Source organism: Homo sapiens, chromosome 22 (assembly GCF_000001405.40).
Source record: "Homo sapiens chromosome 22, GRCh38.p14 Primary Assembly".
Taxonomy (NCBI): domain Eukaryota; kingdom Metazoa; phylum Chordata; class Mammalia; order Primates; family Hominidae; genus Homo; species Homo sapiens.
This window is the reverse complement of record NC_000022.11, coordinates 42,313,958-42,339,290: the sequence shown is the minus strand read 5'-3', so window position 1 is coordinate 42,339,290 and position 25,333 is coordinate 42,313,958. Positions and strand designations below refer to the sequence as shown.

At 56.8% G+C, this 25,333-nt stretch overlaps 1 protein-coding gene across 2 annotated transcripts in view, besides 5 other annotated features; it reads left to right on the top strand.

Moving 5' to 3' along the window:
* Nucleotides 1-25,333, top strand: part of TCF20 (transcription factor 20) — a 183,525-nt gene that overhangs the window by 4,247 nt on the left and 153,945 nt on the right. The window lies entirely within an intron of this gene.
* Nucleotides 240-848: an enhancer, noted in NCBI's record as "H3K4me1 hESC enhancer chr22:42734449-42735057 (GRCh37/hg19 assembly coordinates)". NCBI's record gives its function as "activates a minimal SCP1, AML or CMV promoter by ChIP-STARR-seq in primed H9 embryonic stem cells {active_cell/tissue: H9 hESC(primed)}" and the evidence as "EXISTENCE:reporter gene assay evidence [ECO:0000049][PMID:30033119]".
* Nucleotides 13,260-13,887: an enhancer, noted in NCBI's record as "H3K4me1 hESC enhancer chr22:42721410-42722037 (GRCh37/hg19 assembly coordinates)". NCBI's record gives its function as "activates a minimal SCP1, AML or CMV promoter by ChIP-STARR-seq in primed H9 embryonic stem cells {active_cell/tissue: H9 hESC(primed)}" and the evidence as "EXISTENCE:reporter gene assay evidence [ECO:0000049][PMID:30033119]".
* Nucleotides 18,331-19,168: an enhancer, noted in NCBI's record as "H3K27ac-H3K4me1 hESC enhancer chr22:42716129-42716966 (GRCh37/hg19 assembly coordinates)". NCBI's record gives its function as "activates a minimal SCP1, AML or CMV promoter by ChIP-STARR-seq in primed H9 embryonic stem cells {active_cell/tissue: H9 hESC(primed)}" and the evidence as "EXISTENCE:reporter gene assay evidence [ECO:0000049][PMID:30033119]".
* Nucleotides 20,121-21,018: an enhancer, noted in NCBI's record as "H3K27ac-H3K4me1 hESC enhancer chr22:42714279-42715176 (GRCh37/hg19 assembly coordinates)". NCBI's record gives its function as "activates a minimal SCP1, AML or CMV promoter by ChIP-STARR-seq in naive H9 embryonic stem cells {active_cell/tissue: H9 hESC(naive)}" and the evidence as "EXISTENCE:reporter gene assay evidence [ECO:0000049][PMID:30033119]".
* Nucleotides 23,760-24,589: an enhancer, noted in NCBI's record as "H3K27ac-H3K4me1 hESC enhancer chr22:42710708-42711537 (GRCh37/hg19 assembly coordinates)". NCBI's record gives its function as "activates a minimal SCP1, AML or CMV promoter by ChIP-STARR-seq in naive H9 embryonic stem cells {active_cell/tissue: H9 hESC(naive)}" and the evidence as "EXISTENCE:reporter gene assay evidence [ECO:0000049][PMID:30033119]".

Genomic DNA, 25,333 nt, shown 5'->3' with positions numbered 1-25,333 from the left:
CTGTGTGCCTCTGTTTTCTCGCCTGGAGCTGCAGTGAGATGTAAACTGGAAACCACAGTGTAGATTGCAGTGACCAGTAAGTGCCCACCTTGTGTGAGGACGAGCGCTAGGCCAGGAGTCTGAGCCTTGGGTGCAGCGACTGCCCCTGTGGCTTCGCTGTGTGTCTTTGGTCCGGACTCTTTGGGGAGCACCTGTTAAGGGGGTTCGTGGCATCTGCCTGCCTCACAGAGCTTTTCTGAGACTGGAAAGACCCAGGGGTGGGGAGGAGAGGGGCTGCTCGTGGGAGGGCTTTAAAGGGCTGGATGCCTTCTGGAACAACCCTGTCTCCCTGGATATAGATGACCTCTCCTATCTGAAAAATGGGACCAGACACCCTGCTCACCCCCATCCTTAGATCTCCGTGATTATGGCTTTAATCAGAATTTTAGCCTTTATATTTATAATGCATCTGAAGGGACTCCAGCCCAATTTAATACGAGATGTGTTGAAATAAACTGTCATCTGGACTTTGATATATTAAGATTGCCCTTTGAAAGTCACGTGTTGAGAGGCAGATGATGAAGAGGTGCCTATTGTTGCCGCCTCGTGCCGTGCCCAGCCCGTCCCGCCTGGCAGCCTCCGTCGCAGGAGCTGGCAACATGGCTGTCTGCCTCCGCCTTTCCCGAGCAGGCAGGAATCACTAACGCGTTAGCAGTTTCATTAAGCCTCTCGCCAGCCTCCCCGCCTCCCTCCCGGGCCTCCTCGGTAATTATTTTCCCAGCCCTTCCACTCGCAGCCCCTGAGCGAGCTCTTCGGGATTGGCCGAGTGGCCCCTGCAGGCCGGGCTGCCGGGAGGGACGGGGCTCTGCTGAGGCCCCCTGGGCACCCCCCTCCCGACTCTGCGCTGCCATTTAAGCTTTGTGTCCCCCTGAGGCCTCCGTGAAAATGCAGATCTGCTGCCTGCCAGGGGTGATGGTTAACCCGTTATTACACACCCAGCACGTGTAGTTTCCTCTGTGCAGCCGACCTCCATTCAGACGAAAAGTTTCTCCGGCCCTCTTCTGGGGCTGTCACGGAGCGGGCACTGGGGACCCAGCTGCGAGGGGATTTCTCATGCTGCAGAACCGTGAACATCCAGGGCGGTGGGGGATCTCAGGGGACGCGTGGAGACCGAGGCGGGAGTTGTGTACAGAGTAGGACCTGGGCCCAGAGGGTTTTCTTCCTGGGACGCATGCCCCCACTGGACCCAGGTGGGGCCCAGTACCCCCTCCCTCTGGCCACAGTGACTGGTGGAGAAAGGGGCATGTGGCCCATCTGAGCCCGTCAAAGGCTTCCCTGGAACTGTGACTGAAGGTTGAGTATGCAGGGCCTGAGACCCCCTCCCAGGCCCATTCTGGATTTGGACTCAGCTGTGATTGTTGAAACTGAAGGGTGTGAATATGAGGCCACCGGCCACCCTCTTCCACAGCTGCATTTAGGATGGAGGATTGCGGATAAGGTCATCACATGGAAGGAGGCAGAGCCCAGATGTGGATGGATAGGTGACTTAATTTGGGCCTCTGGATCCAGAATGCCTGAAACTACCCCTGGAATATTTAGTTATATAAATCAACATGTTCTCTTTTTTGCTCAAGCTATTTTGAGTTGTGTTTCTTTCTCTTGCAACCAGTAATGTCCTGACTGATGCAGGAGAAGGATCAGGCAGGATTTTACAAAAGAGGAGACATTTTGAGTTGGGTCTTGCAGGATGAATAAGAGCTCATCCAGCTGAGAAGAGGGGGAAGAGCCCTTAGGCAGAGGGAATAGCAGTGGTCAAAGGCTTGGAGGTACAAAAGCACAGGATGAGGGGGACACCAAGCATTGGCAGTGGCACCAGGGCTTGTAAGCAGAAGTGACAGGCAGGAAGGTGGGGAATGGGAAGCTGATGCCAGGCTGTGAATGCAAGGGTGAGCAGGGATGGGAGCTGAAGGTACTGAAGACTGGGGGAGGGACAGGCAGGAGGGGGAGGTATGGGCTTGGGCAGGTCAGAGGAGGTGCCAGGGAGAGGATAAGGGGGAGAGGAGTGGCAGGGAGGGCATGATGGCAGCGTGGGTTTGGGAATCAGTGACAGGAGGCACCCCAGTGTCAGGGCTAGACCACAGGGGCCTTGGACATGAGGCAGCAGCATCTGGAGGGCCCAGGAGCCCCTGATGTGGTCAGATCTGACTGCGCCATGGAGACCAGGACTCCATGCACTCATTCAGTGAACAGATGTGTGGAGTGCTGTGTGCCAGGCCCGAGGGCACAGCAGTGACTCTTCACGCACAGCCACTGTGTTGTGCAACTCCCAGGCTGATGGGGAGACAGACAGTGAGCAAGGAAGAAGATACGTGGCTATGGGAAGCAGTTCTGTGCTGTGTGGTGATGATCAGGGTGGGGTGCACATGTGGATACCGCTGGCCAGGGTCCTCTGGAGAGGTCTCTGCAAGAGGAAATGTTTGAGTTGAGGCCTGAAGAGCGAGGAGTACCAGTCGTGAGGGAGGTCAGGGGGAAGAGCACCCTAGTCAGGGGCCCGTGCAAAGGCCCTGTGGCAGGTCTGAGTTTGTCTGGGTGTGGGGCAGAAAGGAGGCCATTGTGGCTGGAGTATGGTGGATAGGTGTGTGTGTGGAGGGGGTTTAGGGGCCAGACTGTGCCATGTGGGCCAGTAGGGCCAGGAGATGCCTGGGATTTTATTCTAAAGGTGGCGGGCACCCTTTAGAGGGTCTCAGTAGCAGGTTTGGAGGCAGAGACGGGTGAAGGAGGGAGATGGCAGTGGGGCTGGAGCTGGGAGAGTCCACGTGGCATGGGGAGGTGGGGGAGGGAAGAGCCCAGATAGGATGCCTGGGATGCATGCAGGAGAAGGGATGCCTGAAGCAGGCCTGAGCAGGGAACCTCTGGCTGGAGTGCTCCGGGGGCATCCAGAGCTGAGGTCATCCAAGGGGAGAGGGGGCGGGAGCCGAGGCCCAGCCTGAGGCCTGGAGAGAGAGAGGCTGTCTGGGGTGGGTTTTCCAACCTAGCTACCCGAGCCATGCCAGGTCAGTCCAGCCTGGGTGTGAGAGCTGTTTGCTGCCCTGGACACACCCAGTTCTTGCCACCACCACCCCTCCCCAACAGATCCCGGCTGGAGCGTGTAAGTGATGTCTCCTGCTGCCTGCAGCCGTGCCATCCTCTGCAATGAGGAGTTCACCCAACCTGCTCTGTTTTTTGGCGCCAGCTGGTTTGCTTGACTGGAGGAGGCCACGCTAATGGGGCCAAGGTCACAGGTTGCAGCCTGCATGGTGGCAGGTTGGCTCCCAGACCTGTGGGTGGGTGCCAGGACTGTATTCCTGGTGTCTGGGCAGAGGAGGAGTGATGGCTGGCCCCCAGATTTGGTTGCCCACCACAGGTGGCCTCGGGGGTAAAGTTGGGCTAGGGGCCAGGCTCGTTGCTGGTTTGGGCAGGGCTGGGGGCGTGATCTGAGTGCTGGGGCACCCCCACCCCAGAGCTGGCACCCTGAAGGGCTCCCTGTCACCCCCTTGCCACCCTACTGGCTCCCTAGTCTCACGTCCTGTGCTTCTGCCGCACTCAGAAGCTGCACTTAGAGGTCCCAGAGCCCAGTTCTTTCTTGCCCTCAGGTCTCTGCCCCTGCTATGCCTTCTGCCTGGGACACTTCCCCACTCTCTGCCCCCCTGCTGTCTGCTCAGAGTCAGGGGTAACAGATGCGTGCACTGTGTTCTCGCATTCTCTCTGCCAGTCAGTATTCATTCAGCAAATGCAGTCCCTTAATAAGGATATTGCAGCCCTACTATGCACCAGATGTGGTACTGATTGGGGGTGGGATGGGGAGAGCTACATTTGTGAATAAAGCAGACCAGGTTCTCACCCTCGAGGAGCTCACAGTGGAGTAGGAGTGACAGACAGCAAACAGGTGAAAACGTGGCTGGTGCCGGCCTGTGGGCAGGGCTGTGTGGAAAAGCTGAGTGGTGCCAGAGAGAGAGTGGGAGGTGCAGGGGGTGCTGATAGAGGCAGGGTGGCCAGGGAGCCTTTATCAGGGGCAGGAGAAGGTGCCAGCCATGGGAGGTGTGCGGGGAGAGCATCCCAAGTGGGACTCCTTGCTTTCTTGTCTGTTTCCCCACCCCTCTTGCCTGGTGGGGGCCAGCACAAAACTGGGATCTTTGCTGGGGCTGAGCTGATGTGGGCAGGGCCCCGGGAGCAGGAATGGTCTCGGATGTCTCTGTGGAGCCCAGGTCCCAGGAGCGTATGCAGAACGAAAGTCAGGCTGGGCTCCGGGCCCAGAGGGTGTACAGCTCTGGATACTGTAGGCAGCCAGGGCCTGAGACACGGGATGGGGTGTGGAGTCTTGGGTCCTGGTTCATCCTGAGGCCCTGCTAGATCCATCCATTGCTGAGGTCCAGAGCAAGGTTCCCTTCCGACAACTCACACAAAGGACTAAAAGTCCCATGGGACGGACAGACAGGACTGAGGAGCCCACGTGCTTGGGGCCAGATCCTTCCCCACTTAGACTAGGCTGTGAGACTACACTCAGGCAAGGCCCTGAATTTGAGCCTCAGCGTCCTCATCTGTAAAATGGGGATGACTATTCCACCCTTGTGAGGCTGCTTAGAGAATTAGATGTGATAGTCTCAGTGCAGCGCCTGGCTCATGACAGGCGCCAGTGTGTCTGCCACACTGTTGTTCTCGGCATGTGCCGAGTGTGTAAGGGCTGGAGCGGTTGTTGACTCGGAACCACCTCCCTGCAGCCTAGCCTGTTCCCTGCTCTGCCTCCAGCTCCTAGAACAGTGGCTGCAGCACACAGTTGCTGTTTGTTGACTGACTGAGTGAACTGGCTGCTTGAGTGAGCAGCCCCCAGGTGATGGGGAGGACAGGGCACAGGGGACTGAGTTGTGCCCAGGGGCTGACCATGGGCATCCAGCCATCTAGCTGCTTCTTGACTCCTCATTGGGGTACCCCTGGGACACCAAACCTCCTAGAGCCTCAGTGTACTCCTCTGTAAAATGGAGCCAATGATGATTCTGACCCCGGGCCCTGTCCCTAGGTTGTTGGCAGACTCATGAGAAAATGATATTAAAGGGCCGTGAGGACAGCTGAGCCTACAAATTGTTGGTGAGGTTGCCACCAGTCTGATTTCCCAAGGCCACCCAAGGTCCCAGGGAGGAGGGTGAGATGTTCAGGCTCTGGACAGGGAACCAGGCCTCTCCCTGCTTCCAGCTGCCCATGGTGTGAGGGGCACCTGGCCATGCAGCCCCTCTGACACCAAGGGTACCATTATGTTGAGTCACCTTTATCTGGTGGCTCATCTGGAACCTTGTGAGCCTGTTCCCACAGGAGTCTGCTAAACTCCAGCCCCAGGCAGGGGCCACCCGTTGGCCTGGGTTCCCACTGCGCTTGTGCCTATGGTCCTGTGTCCCAGTGGCACCTGGAGGAGCCATCGTGGTGGGCCGGTGCTCCTCCTAGAGGGAAGCCCTAGGCCAGGCCTGGCACATAGTGGGTGAGCAGGTTGGGCACCTGGAAGCTTGGGCTAGGCCTGCCTTCTATCGCCTTCCTCTGTGTGTGGCTGTGGGCAGTGAGTTACAGGCTTAGTACCTACTGCGTGGAGCAGTAGGCATACTGTGTGTTCTGGTCTCTGAATTGCTCTCCACTTTGTGGCGAGGGGCAAGCTGGCTCACAGGGGCCTGATATGAGGGTTTTTACACCTTTACCCCTTTGCCTCTGAGGCAGGTGGGGACCACTGGTTCCTTACCGAAACTGAGGCTCAAAGAGGGCCAAGGTGTGGTGGAAGCCAGATACTTTTCTGCTTCTGTGTGACTTGCGTTCATGGTGCAGTGGCTGTCAGCCAGGCTTGTGCACAGCCCTGGTGCACCGTCCTCTAAAGCCTCTGCACAGCGAGACAGCTCCTGCCACTGTCTACACACAGCCCTGGTGCACCATCCTCTAAAGCTTCTGCACAGCGAGGCAGCTCCTGCCACTGTCTACACACAGCCCTGGTGCACCATCCTCTAAAGCCTCTGCACAGTGAGGCACCTCCTGCCACTGTCTACACACAGCCCTGGTGCACCATCCCCTAAAGCCTCTGCACAGCGAGGCAGCTCCTGCCACTGCACACAGACTGGGTGCACCGTCCTCTAAAGCCTCTGCACAGTGGGGCAGCTCCTGCCATTGCATTTTGCCAATGCAAAAACAGAGATTAAGAGAGGCAGAGTGACGCAGCCAGGCTTTTGTTTTTACTTTTTCTTGGAGGTATAACTTAATACAGAAAAGTGCACACTTCTTAAGTGTACAGCTATAGGTAGCTGTGCAGCCTCCATCCAGATCCAGACCTAGAACATCCCCAGTGCCCCTGGAGGCTCCCCCGTGCTCCTCCCAGTCAACCCCCACCTGCTGCCAGCAGCTGCCCCCACTCCTGGCATCTGACAGTAGAGGCTGGCCTTGTCCATCTCTGCACTTTATAGAAACAGAGCCGCACAGCATGGTCCCTTTCCTGTAGCATCGTGTTTGCCCATGCAGTTGCTTTATCAGAAATTGGCTGTGCGGGGCACGGTGGCTCATGCCTGTAATCCCAGCACTTTGGGAGGCTGAGGCAGGCAGATCACTTGAGGTCAGGAGTTTGAGACCAGCCTGGCCAATATGGTGAAACCCCATCTCTACTAAAATTGCAAAAATTAGCAGGGAGGCTGAGGCAGGAGAATTGCTTGAGCCCGGGAGGCGGAGGTTGCAGTGAGCCGAGATGGTACCACTACACTCCAGCCTAGGCAACAACAGAGCGAGACTCCGCCTCAAAAAAAGAAAGAAAGAAAGAAATTGGCTGAACTGGTATTTGAACTCTCCCGCTCACTCTCCCCGTCGAACCCAGAGTGCTGCCCTTGCTTACATTGCCATCACCCTTGGAATGAGACCGAGATCCTCCCCCTGGCTGTTCCTGCTCCAGCTCCTGCACTGGTCACTACACTCCAGCCACATAGAGGGACCTTTTGTTCTCAAAAGCCCTGAGCTGCTTCCTACCTCAGGGCCTTTGCACTTGCTGTTCCGACCTCCCAAGCTTCTCCCTGCCTGGCTAATACCCTCAGAGCCCAGCTGGAGTATCACCTCCTCTGCCAGGCAGGGCCTTCCTGGTGCATGTTATCAGGCTAGTTCGTAGTGCCCATGTCATTTGTAATAGTTATCTGTTATGCATCTGCTCGCCCTAGACAGAAAACTCCAGGAGGCAGGGATGGTGTCTGCTGAGTTCACGGCTGGACCCCGGTGCCTTTCGTTGGTTCACTCACTCTTCCTTCCTGTCATCTGTTCCTTCAGCAAGTCCTGAGCACCTGACATGTGATAGCATCTTGCTAGTATTTGTTGAGCGGATGAGTGGATGAAGGAATATCCATCTGTCTCTAAAGCCTGTACTCTTTCCACTACATTCCGTGATCTCTGACACCCCTCTCTTGGCCCCATTTTCCCCAGTTGTCAAATGAAGGAACCAGACCTTCCCTTCCTGGCTAAGTTCAGATTCTGAGGATGTAAGGCAAGTGGGCTGGCTTACAGCCCAGCTGCGCAGGGTAGTGACCATAGACTACAAGGCAGGTTCTGCACCACCCCCAGTGCCTGGCAGAGTGCTTTCCACACCTGCACCATCAGAGCCCCCAGGCTGCTGTTGGGGTGCAGGGCTCAAGCCCTAGACATGTCAAGGGACTTGCTGAGGCCACACATCTGACCACAGCCTCAGAGCTCCAAGCTCAGCCTGCTGGGCCTCAAGGGCAGGAAGAGGCAAGGTTGCCCGGGTCTGGGAGGCACTGGGAATAGGGCTGGTGATGGGGGTCCCTGGTGGACCTGGGTTCCTGTCTGACTTAACCCCACAAGGCTATGTGGCTTTGGTAAGTCACTTTCTCTCGTGGGCTATAGAAATGGGAGTGACTGTTGTGATTGTCCCTCCCTGATAGGGCCTCTGAGGCTCACGAGATCTCAGGGAGCACACAGTAGGTCTCTGTGAGGCCAGCTGTTTCCAGGGCGTGCGGCAGGACTGGGTCTCTGCCGGGAGCTGTGCAGCACCCGGTGGCTCGTGGCTTAGCGGCTTGTCAGCCAGGCGGGCGGGTGTCCTGGGGCCGGGTTTGATTAGTTCAGGTTGACAGTCGCGCTCCGCGGCGCTGCCGGGAGGGGAGCCCGTGATTACCCTAATGAAGCTTGAACACAGTTTGTCATCCAAACAGCTGGTTCGTAGCTGTGCTGCTGCCAGCTGCCCGACTCAGCAGTGCAACCGCATGCCCAGGACCGCCCCAGCCCCGAGCAGCCCTGCCACCTGCTCGATGGATGACCAGGGGCAGGGGGTGGCGGCCCTGGGTGGGCTGTGGGGCAGCCCCAGGGGAATGAGATGGGCCACTCAGGGGTGGGGGACTTGGCAGAGCCTTAGACCAGCGAAGCAGGGCAGCTTCTCAGGACATTCACGGGCAGCCCCTGATCCTAGGCCTCAGTTTCCCCATCTGTAAAGTAGGTATTGGTGACCTTGCAGCTTCAAGTTTCTGAATTCAGGCTGAACTGTTGCCTCCTCTGGGAACACTTCCTGGACTCTGTGGGCTGGATCAGGGGCTCGGATGGGTGCCCACAGCCCTCAAGGCAGGCCCTGCCACCCCGATGGCCCTGTGTTGTCACTGAAGGTCAAGAGTTGTCATGTCTCACTCATCCACTCATTTATTTATTCATTTAATAAATAGTAAGAACACACAGCAGTGAGCAAGACAGTCCCTGTTCTGCATTCGTGGAGTTTTCAGTCTGGTTTGGGGGAGACTGTGGGGCTGTGACCTCATCTAGGGGATAGAAAAGACTTCCTGGAGGATATAGCATCTGAGCTCAGAACAACCAGCAGGGGAGAGACACAGAGAAGAGTGTTGCAGGCAGGAGGAACAGCGTGTACAAAGGCCCTGAGGTGGGGGGGAAGGAGCGAGGTGTTTGGAGGGATGTTGGGCACCCGGGGACACTGCAAACGTCAGTGCCTCAGGGACTTATTCCTGCCCTGTGCTCAGCAAGTTCACTGTGATGCCCTCTCATTGACCCTTTGTTATGGCCCTGGAAGGAAGGATCACTGTTTCATGCTGCAGATGAGGAAATTGAGACCCACAGCATAGAAGGCAGTGCCCTCCAGGCCTCTGCAGCCTCCAGCCTGCCTGGTGGCCCCCTGAGAGGCCCTGGCCAGGGGTTGTCTGCTCAGCTTGGAGTGGAATCTGCAGGGCCACTCAGATGGGGTGGCGGTGGGCCTGGGTCCCTGTTGAGGCCTTAAGCTCTTGCCTGATGGAGGAGGCCAAGGGAAGGGGCCCACAGGCAGCCGAGGGCCTCTGCTAGATGGCTGGGTGGGTTTCCTATTACTCTGGGCCAGGACCTACCTGTATTTGAACTTGGTGGCCCCTGGTGAGTTCATACTCCCTCCACCTCCCACTGAGCCCACAGCCATTTCGGGGGCCACACTTTCCCACTTGGCTTTGCTTGGGGATGGGGCAGGCAGGCAGGGGGAGGAAGGGGACTCGGTGGGGGGAGTGGCAAGGGAATGGGCACTGGCCTGCAGCCCCAAGAGCCTCTGGCCTCCCCCACGGCCAGCCCTGAGCTGCTTCCCGGTTTCTCTGCCACCGTCTGTGGCTAGGCCACCCTCTCAGCCCTCCTGCATCCCTGCAGTGGCCTCCTGGGTGGCGATCCAGCATGTGTCTACTATGGTCATCCTGACCCCACCTCCCCTCCCGTCTCCTTGCTTTTTCCACCCCACACCATCCATAGCTCCCTGTTACCACTGCACAAAGCCCACGTTCTGGCTCGGCATTCATGGCCTCCCAGCCTCGAGCCCCGCTTCTCTCCTCCTTGAGCCTGCTCGCCCTCCTTACTTTGCTCCTGAATATCCATGGTCTCTTCCTCCTGCAGAGGCGAGTGTGAGGCCCTGAGTCCTACGTGGTCATCTGTCCTGTGGCCATTCTCCTGGCAGGTGCGTTCAGGCTGGGCGCCAGTCTCGCCAGGTGCTCACCCCCACAGCTGGGCGGATGGAAGCAGCCCTTGGCAGCCTGTGTGCTGGGGATGAGGATGGTTTATGGCCTTGCTGCAGGAAGGGAGGAATTCCCACCGCTCTTCTGACTCCTTATCACTTCTTGGTGTGACTGCGCTGCCGCCTGCCTGAGAAGGTGCTGGCCCTGGAAGAGAATGGTTTATCAGATCCACCCGCCTCTCCCGGGCTCTTGGAGACCCCACCAGTCTCTGTCCTGGCTCAGAGGGGGAGCGGGGAAATGAAATTAACAAACAAGGGGCTGCAGAGTGAGGTGGAGGGTGCTGGGAGACCCATGTGGACAGAGCAGGCTCCAGCCGGCCTGGGCCTGGGGTCATGTGGTTCAGGCGTTTCAGGCTTCCCACACAGTGGGCAGGGAGGCACGAGGCTGGAGAGAGCACCAGGATGCTTGTGGCTTGTCCTGCCCCAGCCTGTGACTTTCACCGGGGATGCCCTTCCCTGGCTAAGACCTGGGGTGGGGGCTTTCCCCCCCGTCTGGGGCAAGCTTTAGCAAAGGGGTTTAGTGAACCAGTGAACACTGACAATCCCAAAGGGGTGCTGAGCCCTGACCGTGTGCCAGCACCTAGATTAAGCATTTCACATGTGTGATCCCTTTGACTCTACCCACAACCCTGTGACCAGGAAACGGAGGCACAGAGAGGTTAAGTGACTTGCTCAGGGCGTGGGTGAGTGGGAGGTGAGCCAGGGAGTAGGTGAGCTGGCATTTGATCCTGGGTGATCTGAAGCTAGAGCCTGGATGTGCAACCAAGAGATGAAGGTGGGAAGGGGGCTGGACAGGGGACCAGACCAGGTTCACGGGGGGCTGCGGATGGGAGCTGTGCTTGAGCCTTGTGGGACTGGGTACTGCTAGAGCCTTAGAGCTGAGCTGCCTCCACACACACCCTCAGTGGGCCTAGACCTCGGAGCCACATGCCTGGACCCTGAGGGCGCCCATCCCGTCTTGCCTCAGGGGAGCCCACAGGATGCCCCACAGGGCTGCTCATTTGCTGAAAATATGTTGCAGAGAGCTGGGCCCTGCAGAGGCTGTGTCCAGTCTGGCTGGAGCGGACACGTGGGCAGAACAGCTAGAGACGTGTGGTTCTCCCGAGTAGAGAGCAGCTCACGCCCCCTGCATGGCTGAGCCTGGGAGGGTGGGTGGAGAAGGGGCATTTGTTCAGTTGAGAGAAGACAAGCCCTGACCCAACAATAGTAATGGCAAATCAGATATTCACAGAGGTGAAAGTAACGTCGCAGCTGACATAAGGGCTGTGAAGACTGAAGGAAGTCAGGGAGGCTTCCTGGAGGAGGGGGCCCAGAGCTATGATGGGAAGGAGGTAGGAATTAAATGAGTAAGCAGGAAACAGTGTGCAAGGCTAAGAGAAAGCCTGTGCAAAGCCCCTGCGGTAGGGAGTGCTATACTTTGAGGCCGGGGAAGGCAACCTGTGTTTTTTGAGCAAGAGGATCTGAGGGCAGGGGTGTGGTGCCTGATGAGCTGGGCCCTCTGGGAGCGGTCACATGAGATGTCAGACATGGACTTTTGGATTCTGTGAATCTGGAATGTCCTTAGAGCCCCAGGCCTAGAAGTCTCAGGGTTCACAGCCCAGCTCCACCTCTTCCTCTGCATTCAGTCTCGGGTAAGGAGGGTGCCATCTCTGAGCCTCGGTTTTCTCATCTATAAAATGGGCTCACTGTCCCATCAAAGCCTGCATGTGAGGACTTATTGTGGGAATGTGTGTGAAGTGTCTGTGCGAGGTGCCCTGGCCCGAAGCTTCCGCACAGGAAATGAGTGAGCCGTGTCTCCTGTCCCATTTCCTGGGGTTCCCACTCACCCTTTGGGCCCAGCTGCAGGTTGGTGGAGAGGCCTGTGCCCTGCACCTCTGGCTTCTATCTCATTGGCAGGTTGGGGGAGGGGGAGTTCATGGCCAAGGTCAGAGGTGCCTTCCCTCAGCAGGGTTTTCTGAGGGCCATGGCAGGTGCCCACTGCTCCACCTTCTGATCCTTCAGCATGAGGCCTCTCCCCACCTGGGGATGTCTTCAGGAAGGGTTACATCTAGCACCATTCTTAGCTCCTGCGCCAAGGGCATTGCCGTGGCCCCTCTATATCAGTGCCAGCCTCCAGACTCAGCCCTGGGGTAAACCCTGGCTTAGCTCTGTGGGCACCCAGTGCCTCCGCCCCCTCCCCTCCAAGCTGGGATATAGCCCCTCGCCTCATCGTTGCCGCGAGGGTTAGAGTCTCTTGGAGAAGTGCCTGGCACACAGTCATCATTGAATACGTGATCGTTCCTCTTCTCCTTCCTGATCTGCTGCCAGATCGCGTCATGTTGTGGAAAAAGATCTGCCCTTTCCTCACTATAAAAGGCATTCCAGAAATGATTGGTAAAGGATTGAGTGAGTGGCCGCTGCAGAGCAGGGTGCTTGTGCCCAGCGCTCCGGCTCTGGAATCAGCTGGCTGTGTGGCATCGGGCAAGTGTGGCCCTCTCTGGGCTCTTCAGTTGAAGATTAGCAAGGTTGATGCTGCTCTGGTGGAGCCCCCTAAGAGGGGACATGGCAGCTCTTTGCCAATGTAAAGGTTCTGTCCAGACTACAGTTATGGTTTTACAGATGAGGAAACTGAGGCCCAGAGGGGTGATGTGCTGGCCTTGGGTGGCCTGGCTAAACGGCAGGGCTGAGCCTGTACCTGGCTCCCTGAGGCTTTGAGTCCAGGGCTCTCGCTGGTGGCCCCCATCCTTACCCAGAACCTGGCATCTGTCAGCTGGGCACAAATGCCTGCCCTAGATTGAAGAGCGGAGAGTTGGAAGCATGTCACAGGGTCTGTCCAAGGTGCTGCTGGCAGCATAGCAGGCGACGGTGCTATGTCTCATTTCTATGAGGGATTTGGTGCACGGCTCTTGGGCCCCAGCCGAGATGGGAAGGGGCATTGTCACAGGGCGGCTTCACCAGAATCAGAATCCAGGGTGACCCTGGAGAGGTTTACTGGGGAACACTCTTAATAACAACTCCTGTGGGGGGCAGAGGGTGAGGTTGGGCTGCAGTGCAATAGAAACAGAGGCCTCAGGTGATCTCACGGGCACTTGGGAGCAGGGGTGGTCCCGCTTGGTTCCAGACCAAGGCAGGGGCTCAGCCATTACATCCTGCGTTGACTGGTCAGTGGTTAGCTGTCCCCAGGAGAGGATGGCTCCTTCCTCTCCTGGGGGGAGTTGGCTCCTTCACCAAAGGGACCCTCAGCAGCTGGCACCCCTGGCAGCCAGAGAAGCCTGTATTTTGGTCTTGAAAGGGGGCCTTAGGTGGTGCACAGGCCAGATGTCCTGTGACAACAACCAGAGCAAGACAGATGCTGGTGCCTGGGAGAAACCATGTCTTACTCACCTGAGGACGGCAATAATAGCAGTACCTGTGCCTCTGAACCCTGCTAATCCTGCAAGCTAGGGCCCTGACCCCCACTTTTGACATGAGAGGCTGAACCTCAGAGAGGCGCGCTGGCTCCAGGCAAGTCGGCTGCAGAATTGGGGCTCGGAAATGCAGTGCCTTGCTCCCCACGGCCTCCACTTCCCAGCTCTGGCAGGTGATGGTTCCCTGTCCTGCGTAGCCTCAGGGTGCCGTCCTTGGGTGCGGCCCAGCTTCTACCCTGTTTTGGACTGTGAGCTCCTTGAGGGCCTCCCTTTGTCCTGCCTACCTGGGATGCCTGGCACAATGCCCAGGCCGAAGGGCTCACTACACAGACGTGGCCAGAATTGAATGAAGTCTCATGCCCTCCCCTCCCCCCGAGCTGGTGTGACTTGCCACCGTGTGCATGAGTACTGCTTGGGCTGGTGCCAGCCCTGCCTCTTGGGGGAGGAAATCAGGGTTTACTGGGCAGGAAAGGGTGGTCTTGCTGTGACAGTCACGTGGGCCTGGCCCCAAGGGCCCCACCTGTTGAGGTGAGGAGTGGCTGAGTGGGGGCCACCGGGCAGAGGCACTTTTCCTGGAGGTTTTGCCTCTCAGAGCCAGCCTGGGAGTGGCTGCTGCTGCCCTGGGCTTCCCAGGGAGGAACATTTCCTTGCCTGGCCCCGCCCAGAACATCCAGGGGAGCACAGAGGTGGTGGCTCCAGCACCATAGAGTATCCGAGTGCCCAGTCGGGAGGAGGCCCAGAGGAGCAGAGCTCTGGTTAGGGGGGCGCTGGCCCAGAAGCCTGAGCACGGAGAGGCATCTGTAGTTGGGGCTGCCGGCAGAGAGCTCAGCATCCTCCCACCCGCCCATGCGGTTTCCTGAGTCCCAGCAGGGTGGGAAGACAAAGAGGGAGCATCCGGGTCTGCACTCTCAGGCACCAGGCTAGGGCCAAGGGGAGAACCCAGTTTTGGGATGAGGCATCCGAGCCTGGCTTCTTCTGGCCTCTCTTCATCCCCAGACCTGAGGCAGGCCATATTCCCCATGTGCCTTGTATTCCCTCAGGGCCTCTGGGTCCTCACCTGCAAGATGGAGATAATAAGACTCCCCAGGCTGCTGGGAGATTGCATGAGACAGTGGCTGTAAAAGGACATTAGCAAACCACACGATTCAGAACAAATGGTGGAGGTTATTTTCTCAGATGGTGGAGATTATTTTCTCAGATGGTGGAGATTATTTTTTCTCAAATGGTGGAGATTATTTTCTTAAATGATGGAGATTATTTTTTCTCGAATGGTGGAGATTATTTTCTCGGATGGTGGAGATTATCTTCTCGGATGGTGGAAATTATTTTCTCCAATGGTGGAGATTATTTTCTCAAATGGTGGAGATTATTTTCTCGGTTGGTGGAGATTATTTTATCGGATGGTGGAGATTATTTTCTCAGATGGTGGAGATTATTTTCTGGAATGGTGGAGATTATTTTCTCAGATGGTGGAGATTATTTTCTGGAATGGTGGAGGTTATTTTCTTCTATCACTACTTCTGTTTGTCTCCCAGTTTCCATTTCTCTCAAGTCTTATCAGGCCTAGTGAAATTAATTAATGTTTACCTTTTACCCTCACTGGTTTATTCGTCTCTCCTCCCTCCCACACCCTCTTTCCTTTGTTCCCTTCCCCTTCCAATAATAATGGCCACCACCATCACCACCATCATCACCACCTCCACCATAACCTCCACCACCACCACCATAACCTCCATCACCACCACCATCACCATAACCTCTATCACCACCACCACCACCACCACCATAACCACCACCACCACCACCACCATAACCTCCATCACCACCACCACCACCACCATAACCTCCATCACCACCACCACCACCACCATAACCTCCATCACCACCACCACCACCATAACCTCCGCCACCACCTCCACCACCATAACCTCCACCACCACCATCACCACCACCACCATAACCTCCATCACCACCACCACCACCATAACCTCCATCACCACCACCACCTCCACCACCATAACCTCCATCACCACCACCACCACCACCACCATAACCTCCATCACCACTACCACCACCGCGACCACCGCAACAGCTCACTCTCCCATTTAATCCTCACAGCCTTGGAAAGTAGGTACAGTTGTCATCCCCGTTTTACAGATGAGGAAGCAGAGGCTTCTCGGCTTTTCCTGCATTTCTGCCTCTGGGAAGAAGGTGTGGGTGCATTCAGCTATCCATGGCCAGAGTCTGGTTCCTGCTCTCCAAGCCTGCTTCCCGCTTCTCCTCCCTCCTATGTGCACTTCCTGCTTCCAGCCTTTGCATTTGCTATATCCCCTCCTGAAAGCTCTCACTTTGGAGCCCTGCATGGCTCGGGTCAGCTGCCACCTCCTCCTAGAGACCACCCCTGGATGACCGAGAGTAGCACTCCCATCTCTTCCACCGTCCTCCTGTTCCCTCAGCTGACAGGTGCCCCCTTCCCTGTGATGCTAATGACCTCTGAGGGCATTCCTGCTGCAATGTCCTCAGAATCCAGTCGCTGCTGTCTGAATGGCCCCTCCATGCTGGCCCTGGCTGCCCCTGGCTGCCACTGCCACCCTGCCATCCCACCCACCCTTCCACGAGGCTCAGACCCTTCCGGGCTTGGGTTCTGGAGTGGGTTATCCAGTGGGGGCTTTGGCCTCTGAACAAGAGGCCAAAGAAAACAGCCAGGTGGGCTGGGCGTGGTGGCTCACGCCTGTAATCTCAACACTTTGGGAGGCTGAGGTGGGCCACCTGAGGTTGGGAGTTTGAGACCAGCCTGACCAACATGGAGAAACCCCGTTTCTACTAAAAATACAAAATCAGCCAGTCGTGGTGGCAGGTGCCTATAACCCAAGCTACTCGGGAGGCTGAGGCAGGAGAATCACTTGAACCTGGGAGGCAGAGGTTGCAGTGAGCTGAGATCGCACCATTGCACTCCAGCCTGGGCAACGAGAGTGAAACTCCATCTCAAAAAAAACGAAAAACAAACAAAAAAAAAACCAGAAAATGAAAACAGCCAGGTGAGTGATCCAGATCTGAGCCTGGGGATGGCGAGCCTCCCCACTGCCAGGAGGCACATTCATTTACTCAGGCACTCATTCATTTACTCAGGCACTCATTCATTCACTCAGACACTCATTCATTCCCTCGGGCACTCATTCATTCACTCAGACACTTATTCATTCCCTCAGACACTCATTCATTCCCTCAGGTGCTCACTCACTCAGGCGCTTGCTCACTCACTCACTCATTTGGTCACTCAGCACTGATGTGTTAGGAACCTTCCTGCTGGCCACACACTCCATGCCTAACAAATGCTGAGCCAGTGAATGAACGAACGTCCTTCCTCTCCTCTGCCCAACCTTTCTCAGCCCAGTTCAGGCCCTGCCTCCTCCACGGGAGCTCCTCCCCAGGGAGACCATGGATCTTCACTGCTGACGTGTGATCTCGAGGAAGGGCCCTGTCTGTGGCTCTGACAACTTCCAGCAGACCCCCTTCTCCTCTCTCTGACGGCTGCCGGGAAGCCTGAGCCAGATTGGCAGCCAGCCTCTGAAAGGCCCTTATGGTGCATGCTGGGCTCACTCCCCAGGGTCCTCTTATACATCTTCTGAGTGTTCACAGCTGCCCCTCCAGGCCTGCACAGCAAGCCTTCAGTAAATCTTTACCGAGTGAACGAATGAATGAACTCTTTATTCTCTGCCTCCCTTAAGTGCCACTGCCTGTTTTGTGTTTCCTCAGATTCTTTTTGAATGAGAAAGGAAAAACAAGAACAATAGCAATATTAATAACAGCAGCCGTAATACCTGCTCATATTTATTGAGCAATTGCTGAGTGCTGGGCCTTGTTCCAAATATTTTACATGTGTGAATTCATCTCATTGTCCCAGGCCTGTGAGGTAGGTGTTAGTCTCCCTACTTTTTAATTTTTATTATCTTTTTTTTTTTTTAAGATGGAGTCTCGCTCTGTCACCCAGGCTGGAGTGCAGTGGCGTGATCTCAGCTCACTGCAACCTCCGCCTCCTGGGTTCAAGCGATTCTTGTGCCTCAGCCTCCCGAGTAGCTGGGATTACAGGCATTTGCCACCATGACCAGCTAATTTTTGTATTTTTGGAAGTGATGGGGTTTCACCATGTTGGCCAGGCTGGACTCAAACTCTTGACCTCAGGTGATCGGCCCACCTCCGCCTTCCAAAGTGCTAGGATTACAGGTGTGAGTCACCGCGCCCAGCCTGGTCCCCCTGTTTTACATGAAGAAGCTAAGCACCCAGCAAACCAGCGATTTGCTAGTTATAGGTTGCAAGGCTCCTGAGCGTGGAGTTGGGGTGTGAACACAGCAGGGAATTATAATGGTAATTGTAAAAAGGAGTCCATTTTGTTGAAGAGAGGACAAGAGCCCTGGAAAGCTTCCCCATGGGCCATGCCTTTGCAGAAGAGTGGACAGGGGTGTAGAGCTGCATATGGGGTCCTGGGCCCTTAGGGTGACCTGGCCAGAGGAGCCGGGAGGTGGGCATGTGAGTGGAGCTGGGGCCTAGCTCACAGAGCTGGCCATGGGACAGGCTTCTTCCTTCCAGTCCCTGCTGGAGCCACCCTTGTGTTCCCCAGAGGGGCCGTGTCCAGTGAGCCACATGGCCTGCGTTGCCCATCCCTGGTGCCAGGCGTTCCCTCATGCCCTGAAGTGCCGCCTGTCTGGAGCCTCTGTCCGTCACTGAGAGGTCAGGGTATGGCAGCCCCCAGGTCTACCTCTGGCCAAGAAGGCCTTAAATCTTCTCCCAGCCCTTGCTCCTGAATTGCTTGCGCGCGGCTTTTACAGTTGCTTGGGGAACTGTAAGTCTGCGTTGCCTGACTCCTGTGTATTTAAATTCTCAGCCATAATGTTATATTAACTCATTTTTTGCAGTTTCCTGGGAGACTGTGTGTACATTACTGGGCGGTGGTGGAGTGGGAATGGCCATGACTGTGGACAAACACAGCTGTGAGTGTGCCTGGCGCTGGTTGCTGATCTGGGGGCCCCCACCTCTGGTGGGTCCCTCATGAGAGGCATTTCCTGCCAGCCAGGTATTCGCAGTACCTGAGTCCCCTCTGCCACCCCTGGCAAAGTTGCGGATGTAGCCATTTGGCTGATAAATGGGGATTCCCGGCTTGGGATGGCTCTGGAGCTCCAGGGAGGCCTGTGGGTCACGTGTCTTTTGTTCATTTATGCACTGCCAGGTGCATTCATCCCCACATCAGTCCCCTCACACGTGTTGAGCACCTGCTGTGTACACAGCCCGGAGATACAGCAGGAATGCAACTGACTTTGTTCTATTCTCCTGGAGATGAAGTGCTAGGGGAGAGGGATGTTCACTTGATGGACAAATAAATCCACAGTGCAGGCCGGGGGCTGGGACGGCTGTTGGAGGAAGGGCTGGCAGTGGGGATTGAGGTGGAGGAAGGGCACATTGAGTCAGAGACCTGAAGGAGGGAAGGAGCTGGTGTCCAGCCCCTGTGCGTGAACCCACACAACAAGGCCATGAGGGTCATCGTGCCCATTTCACTGGTGGTGCCTAAGGTCCACAGCTGCTAAGTGGCAATGCATCAGACCCAGGCTGTACGGCTCCATCCTGCCTGCTCTCATTGCTGCATTCCATGGCTCTCTGGGAAGGGCATTTTAGGTGGGCAGAACAGAACTTGCAAGAGTCCAGAGGCCCAAAGGAGGCTGGTAAGTTTGAGAAACAGCCAGAAGGCGGGTGACTGGAGCAGAGTGAGCAGGGGTGAGAATGGAAGTGGAGAAGGCGGAGAGGTCAGGGGGGCCAGTCTCAAAAGTGAAAGTAGGAGCTCGCTGTGCTTCTTCATCTTACTCCTGAACCGAGATGGCAGTGGTGGGAATGGAGGGAAGATGGAAAACAGCAGAGCAGAGCCTTGGGGTAGAGCCTGGAGTAGAGCAGTGGGGCAGGATCTGGGGGCTCAGGGCTGGGAGAGACCAGGTGCTGGGGTGGGAGGGAGAAGGAGACTTCCTGGGAAACACCCTGCAGGTGGGGGTAAGGGGATCCAGTGACACAGCTGCGGCACAGCCCTGCTCCGGGGTGGGAAACCCAGGACTCCTAGCTGGCTTCCCCGGCCTCCTCGCCTGTCCACCGTGGAGTTCATCCAGGCCGCTGCAGGGTGTGAAGAAGGGCTCAGAGTCAGCCCTGACACTTTGTTTAGTTGTTCATTTGTCCTCAGTTCCTCCATCTGGGAAATGGGGATCCTGATACTCATCGGGGGTTAGGAATCATGGTTGCAAAGTTCCAGCGCTGGTAGAAGTGAAAACCCTGCCCGTTGACTACTTGCTTCCTCATTTGATTCTGTGGGCTCAAATAATGTCCTATTTTACTGGGAGGGAATTGAAGGTCTGAAAGGGAAATGGCTTGCCCAGAGCCCTGCTGGCCAGGCTCAGGAGGCAGGGGAGGTCTGGGGAGAGAAGCCTGGGATGAGGTCCCCTGTCTCCCCAACACACACGATGAGAGCCCCCATGGCTTTCCATGGCTGCCCAGGCAGGAGTGGAGCCGGGGTTGCTTGGAGCACTTGGGGAGTTTAGAGCAGCAGCAGGTGGCCTGGCCCCCAGATCCCCATGCCTGTGGAGTGGAAGGGCAGGGCCAGAGGAGTACTCTTCCCCATGCTGTATGTGCTGCTTGGAATGTCCTCCCACAGCCCCCAGCCAAGTCTTCACCCTTCAAGCCTTAGCTCTGGCCAGCACCTCCTCCAGGAAGTCTTCCTAGACTTTACGTGTGACGGTCACATACCTCCTTAGTGTCCCCATAGCACCATCTCTGCCCTCCCACGGCCAGCCTGAATGTTCCCTGCATGTGGGGCTGTGTCTGAGTCCTCTCATGCCCCCCTAGTACCCCTTACAAGGTGTGGCACAGAGCAGGTGTCAGAGAATGCCTTTAGAACACAGCTGGAGTGATCTCAGGTCAGGGCAGTGCCAGGGCCCTAAGCTCCATTGGGCAGGTGCCTCTGCTGGCTGATTTCATGGCCCCAGGCCTCAGCTGGCCACAGGGTCAATCAGGAGCACCCCACACACCCAGGCATGGAGGTGGCCAGTGCCCCCCACCCCCATACTGGGACCTGCTTATGAACAGCAGGCCTTGATGGCATCCCTGTGTCTGGAAGTACCAGAGCAGTGGCAGCTGAGACAGCAGTGCCCTCATAAGCCCTGGGCTTCCACAGAAACCCCAGGTCACCTGCAGCCTGGTGGCTGGGGGCCTGGAGTCATCCCTCACTCGTGGTCCCTGATGAAGGCTTGGCTGGGCAGTGCTAGGGCTCACTGGGCAGAGGGCGGCATCCTGACTCCTGCCTGGCCCGGGCCTGCTCCCTGGAATCATCCCTGAGTGCCAGCCTCTGTTCTTCGTCTTAATGAGGAAAGCTCTTCTCTCCTCCCTGCCATCCCCCCTTCTTCCAAAATGAATTTACCGTTCCGCTGCGCCGCACTCCTCCCTCCTCCTCCTCCCCTCTCCTCTCACAGGCCGCGAGGGAAGTGGAGGGTGTTATTGTATATTTTAGCCAATTGTTCCCTGTACGCCCTAGTCTTTTTGGGGTGGGGCTGGGGGGATGGGGAAGTAAGTAAATTATATATTGAACTCCTAACTGGAGCTGAGGCCTTGTGGTTTCCATGGCAACTGGGCTGGAAATAGCTCGGCGTGACATCAGCATGGTACAGGTATAGCCAGATCCAGCCGTTCCCCAAACAAGCTGGCTCCAAGGGGAGCAAGAGATGTGCGGCTAATTAGCATATGCAAATCATACCTGGCGAGCAGGGCGGGGCCTGTGGTGCCCCGTTGGGGCCTGTGGCCATGGCCAGGGCCTCTGGCAGGTAAGCGGGCCGGGGGTGCTTGTGGGGTCAAGGCCCAGGCTGCCCTGGGCACACGCCCCTGTGCAGGGGCTTGTCTGGGCCTGGGCCTGCCTGCCCCATAGGGCTCTGGGAGTGTGGCCAATGGGGCTGCCAGGGGATGGACAGGCATGCACGGCAGGCAGCCAGGAGGGTGCCCCGCCTGGGCTCGAGTGGGATCTGGCTCTTACTGGCTCATGGGTGCCTTTGAAGCTGGCTACCTAATTGGGCCCTGCTGGCTGCCTGCCATTTTTCTCTGTAGCGTTGTGAGGGAGGGATCGCCCTGTGCCCACCTCGGCTCCCTTCTTCCACCCTCCCCACTGCTGGACCGTGGGAAAGGCCCACAGAACCCCCACCCTCCCGCTGTCCTGCGGCTGAGTCTACACCCCTTTCCCCCCCAGCCCCCAGCGGGAATGCAGGAGCAGAGCCCTCCTCTGAGGGTGCTGCCTTGGGCCAGTCACTTGGCCTCTCCGAGCCTCAGTTTCCACCTTGGTGAGATGGGGGTATTTTTCTTTGCCCATGTACCAGGTAGTGAGTGGGTAATGAGGTGACACTGGGGAAGGGCCTAGGTGGGCTTGGTGGGCCAGACATAGTGGGAGGAAAAGGAGATTTTCCGTCATCTGTGTTTAAATCGAAGCTCCGTCACCCAGCGCCGCCCCTCCTTCCCCACCACACACATAAACACGCACTCTAGGGAGACTTGAGAACTTGCAGTAAATTTCTGGGCGAGGTGAAATATTGCCACCTTCAGTGTGGTGATTTCCACGCTAGGGCTCTTGGCTGAACCTCCGACATTCAAGCTGGGAGTGCTCTGTGGCTAAATGAGATAATTTATTCATTTCAGCAAATGTTGAGGGTGTGCCGAGTGAGGGCGGGCGGGGAAGGTGGGGTGAGTCAGACGTGGCCAAGCACACAGAGCGCTCAGTCTGCAGGGGAGGCAGACGGATAGTGTTGCCAGTGCTCTTTGGGGGATTTGGGGTGTCTGGGAAGAGTGTTGAGGACATGGGACCATTGAAGATGCCTTACGGCCATGCCAGAGTCCACTTGGCAGCAAAGGGGTAAGGAAGGGCATTCCAGGAAGAGAAAAGCAGTGGGCACAGACGGGAAAAGACGCCTGGCACTTGGGGAAAGGGCGACGCTTGGCTGGAGTGAAGTGGTGGAGATGAGACCAGAAAGTTCTGCCAGTGTCAGCTTCAGAGGGGCTGGAGGCCAAAGAGTTTGACTGTGATCCAGGAGGTGGTGGGAGCTATCGATGGCCCTTGAGCAGGGAAGTGATGTGTTCGGATCCTGGCTTCAGCAAGAAAAGGTGGGCCAGCAGGGCGCAGTGGCTCACGCGTGTAATCCTAGCACTTTGGGAGGCCGAGGAAGGCGGATCACTTGAAGTCAAGTTCAGGACCAGCCTGGCCAACATGGTGAAACCCCGTCTCTACTAAAAATACAAAAATCAGCCGGGCGTGGTGGCGCATGCCTGTAGTCCCAGCTGCTCAGGAGGCTGAGACAGGCGAATCGCTTGAACCTGGCAGGTGGAGGAGGAGCCTCTGCCCACCTCGCCCTTCTCTGACCCTCCAGGCTCTGACAGATTAACTTGTGGGCCAGTCTGTCTCCTTGAGTATGTGTGGTGTGCCCCTGCTGCATGGGTGCAGGGAAGGCCCAGGGGACTGAACTGAGCAGAGACTCCCATGCTAGTGCTCTTTTGGGTGTCACATTTTCACAGGGTCAGCGTTTGGGAGCATCTTCTCATCACCACTCTGGCCCTGGAAGCCTGCAGGCACTTTGCAGTCTTTATTCCATTTGTGCCTGGTGACTTTCCTAGCCTGCAAACCTGCCTGGGTCCCTTCTTCCTTGGAAGCTGCCAGGGCTCCCTGGTGCTCGGATAAAGTCCAAATCCTGCCTTGATGTGGCCTCTTGTCTTTAAATCTTTTTTTTTTTTTTTTTTTTTTTGAGACAGAGTCTTGTTCTGTCACTCAGACTGGAGTGCAGTGGCGCGATCTCAGCTCACTGCAACCTCCGCCTCCTGGGTTCAAGCGATTCTCCTGACAACGAGTAACCTGGATTACAGGCATGCACCACCACGCCCAGCTAATTTTTTGTATTTTTAATAGAGACGGGATTTCACCATGTTGGCCAGGATGGTCTCAAACTCCTGACCTCAAGTGATCCACCCACCTCGGCCTCCCAAAGTGCTGGGATTACAGGCGTGAGCCACCACGCCCAGCCTTGTCTTTATATCTTTACTCCTGCTGTTCCCTCTGCCTGGATGCCTTTCTTGTCTCCTCCACCTGGGGCTACCTCTGGTTCATCTGCCACTCTAATGATGCCTCCTCTGGGTAGTCCTCTCTGACCAGCCCTGTCCCAGGATGGTAGATGTCTTATGTGCCCCCCTCTCTGGCCCCCTAGGCTTCCCTCATTCATGGCACTGTCCACACCTTCCTGAAGCCACCAGCTTCAGTGAGGAAGTCTCACTCAGTGTTGGCCCCATGGCCAGCCCAGGACTTTGCCCAGAGGTAGAACCAGTGAAAGTTTGTTGAGTGAATAGGCAAGGGAGTGGATGTTGCTCTTCCTGCCTATGTCCAGCCCATTCCACCTGCCTGGGCTGCCCTCCTTTCCTCTCTTACCCTGTGTGCCTGGCCTGGATACCCCAGCTTCAAGCTGCCTGTCCTTCAGAGAGTCCTTCCTCTCTGAGCCTGTCCTCACCTGCAGCCCACCTGCCATGAGGACCCCAGATGGAGCCCACTGTGGTGCCTCTCCTGCACCCCCAGCATGGTGTGTGAGCACCCTGGGGCTCCCACTGGCTTCTCCCACTTTTCATTGCTTCAGGCCCCCATTAGGTGGCTGGTGATTGCTGACAGACTGAACTGTTCCAGAACCTCCCCTGTCAGGACTGCCCTGGGGAAATCTCTAGAGGTGTCCACAGCCTCCTGTCTGCCCCCTCCCTGCTTGGGTCTCCTCAGACCATTCCTTGATTCCAGGTTTCTGAAAAATTGTGTGAAAACTGGCTTTGTGTCATCAGATCCAATTTCCTGCCACCTCTTACTTTTAAAGGAGGCACAGCCAGTTTAAAACAAAAACATCCTGCTGTGGTGTGAGCTGAAGACTTTGGGCCAGGAGGCTGGGCTGTGAGGGCCTTCCGCTCTGCCACCTCCCCTCATTCAGCCGCTCCCCTCCTCCCTGGGTCGGGGCTGGAGGGAGGGGTTCTGGAGCCCAGGTTTTCGTGCCCCTGCCCTCTTTATTGTTGTTGAATCCCCTCTCCAGATGCTGCTCCAGAATCCTCTCTGAAGTTTCTAGAGTTCATTCTTCCTTCCTTCATTCAGCAGACATCCACCGGGTGCTTGCACTGTGCCAGTCAGCACTGGGCTTGTGGGCACAGAGCAGACAGGAGGGGTGCAGGGCAGGACCCCCTGTTCTCCCTGGGAGAGGCGGGCTCCCTGCTAGCCCTCAGCCCTTGGCTTGGGCCTCCTGGGTGCAGGACCTGCGGGTTCCTCTTCCCGCCTGGTAATTGCTAGCTCCCCGGCTCTGGGAAGCAGCTGGGTCAGGTGTGGGCTGCCTGCCCACATGCCTGGCCGCCTGCCCGCCTGCCGCAGGAGGCATCGATGCCTGGGATTCAAGCTCCTCCGAGGGCCTGCGATGTGGCCATGGGGAAATCATTTTCTGACAATGGCCATCAATTTCGCTGAGAGCCCATCGGCGCTCTGGCAGCCTGTCCCCCGGCAGCGGCAGCTGGTCCGTGTCAAGCCCCCAGGTGTCCTGATGACAGAAGCGATTCGCATTAGGCATCTGCCCCAGAGCACACATCCGGAAGAGACGGATTCTGGCCAGTTCCAGACATGCACCACATCACCTCCAAGTTTATCTTCAGGTCCTTGGGTTAGCGGAGATGTCTTCTCTCTGCCCTGGAGTGGCCACAAGGGGCCCCTATAGGGCAGCCCCAGCCTCAGGAACGGGGCTCCCTGCTGAGCCTGTATCTGCCTTGTTGCAGGCGCTATGTAGGCACAAAGGTCACAGCTCTGAACACAGCAGACAGAGCACCTGCCGTTGCACTGAGAAGGGAAGGACAGGAAGGAGGCAGTCACGCACAGATCTTGGGAAAGAGC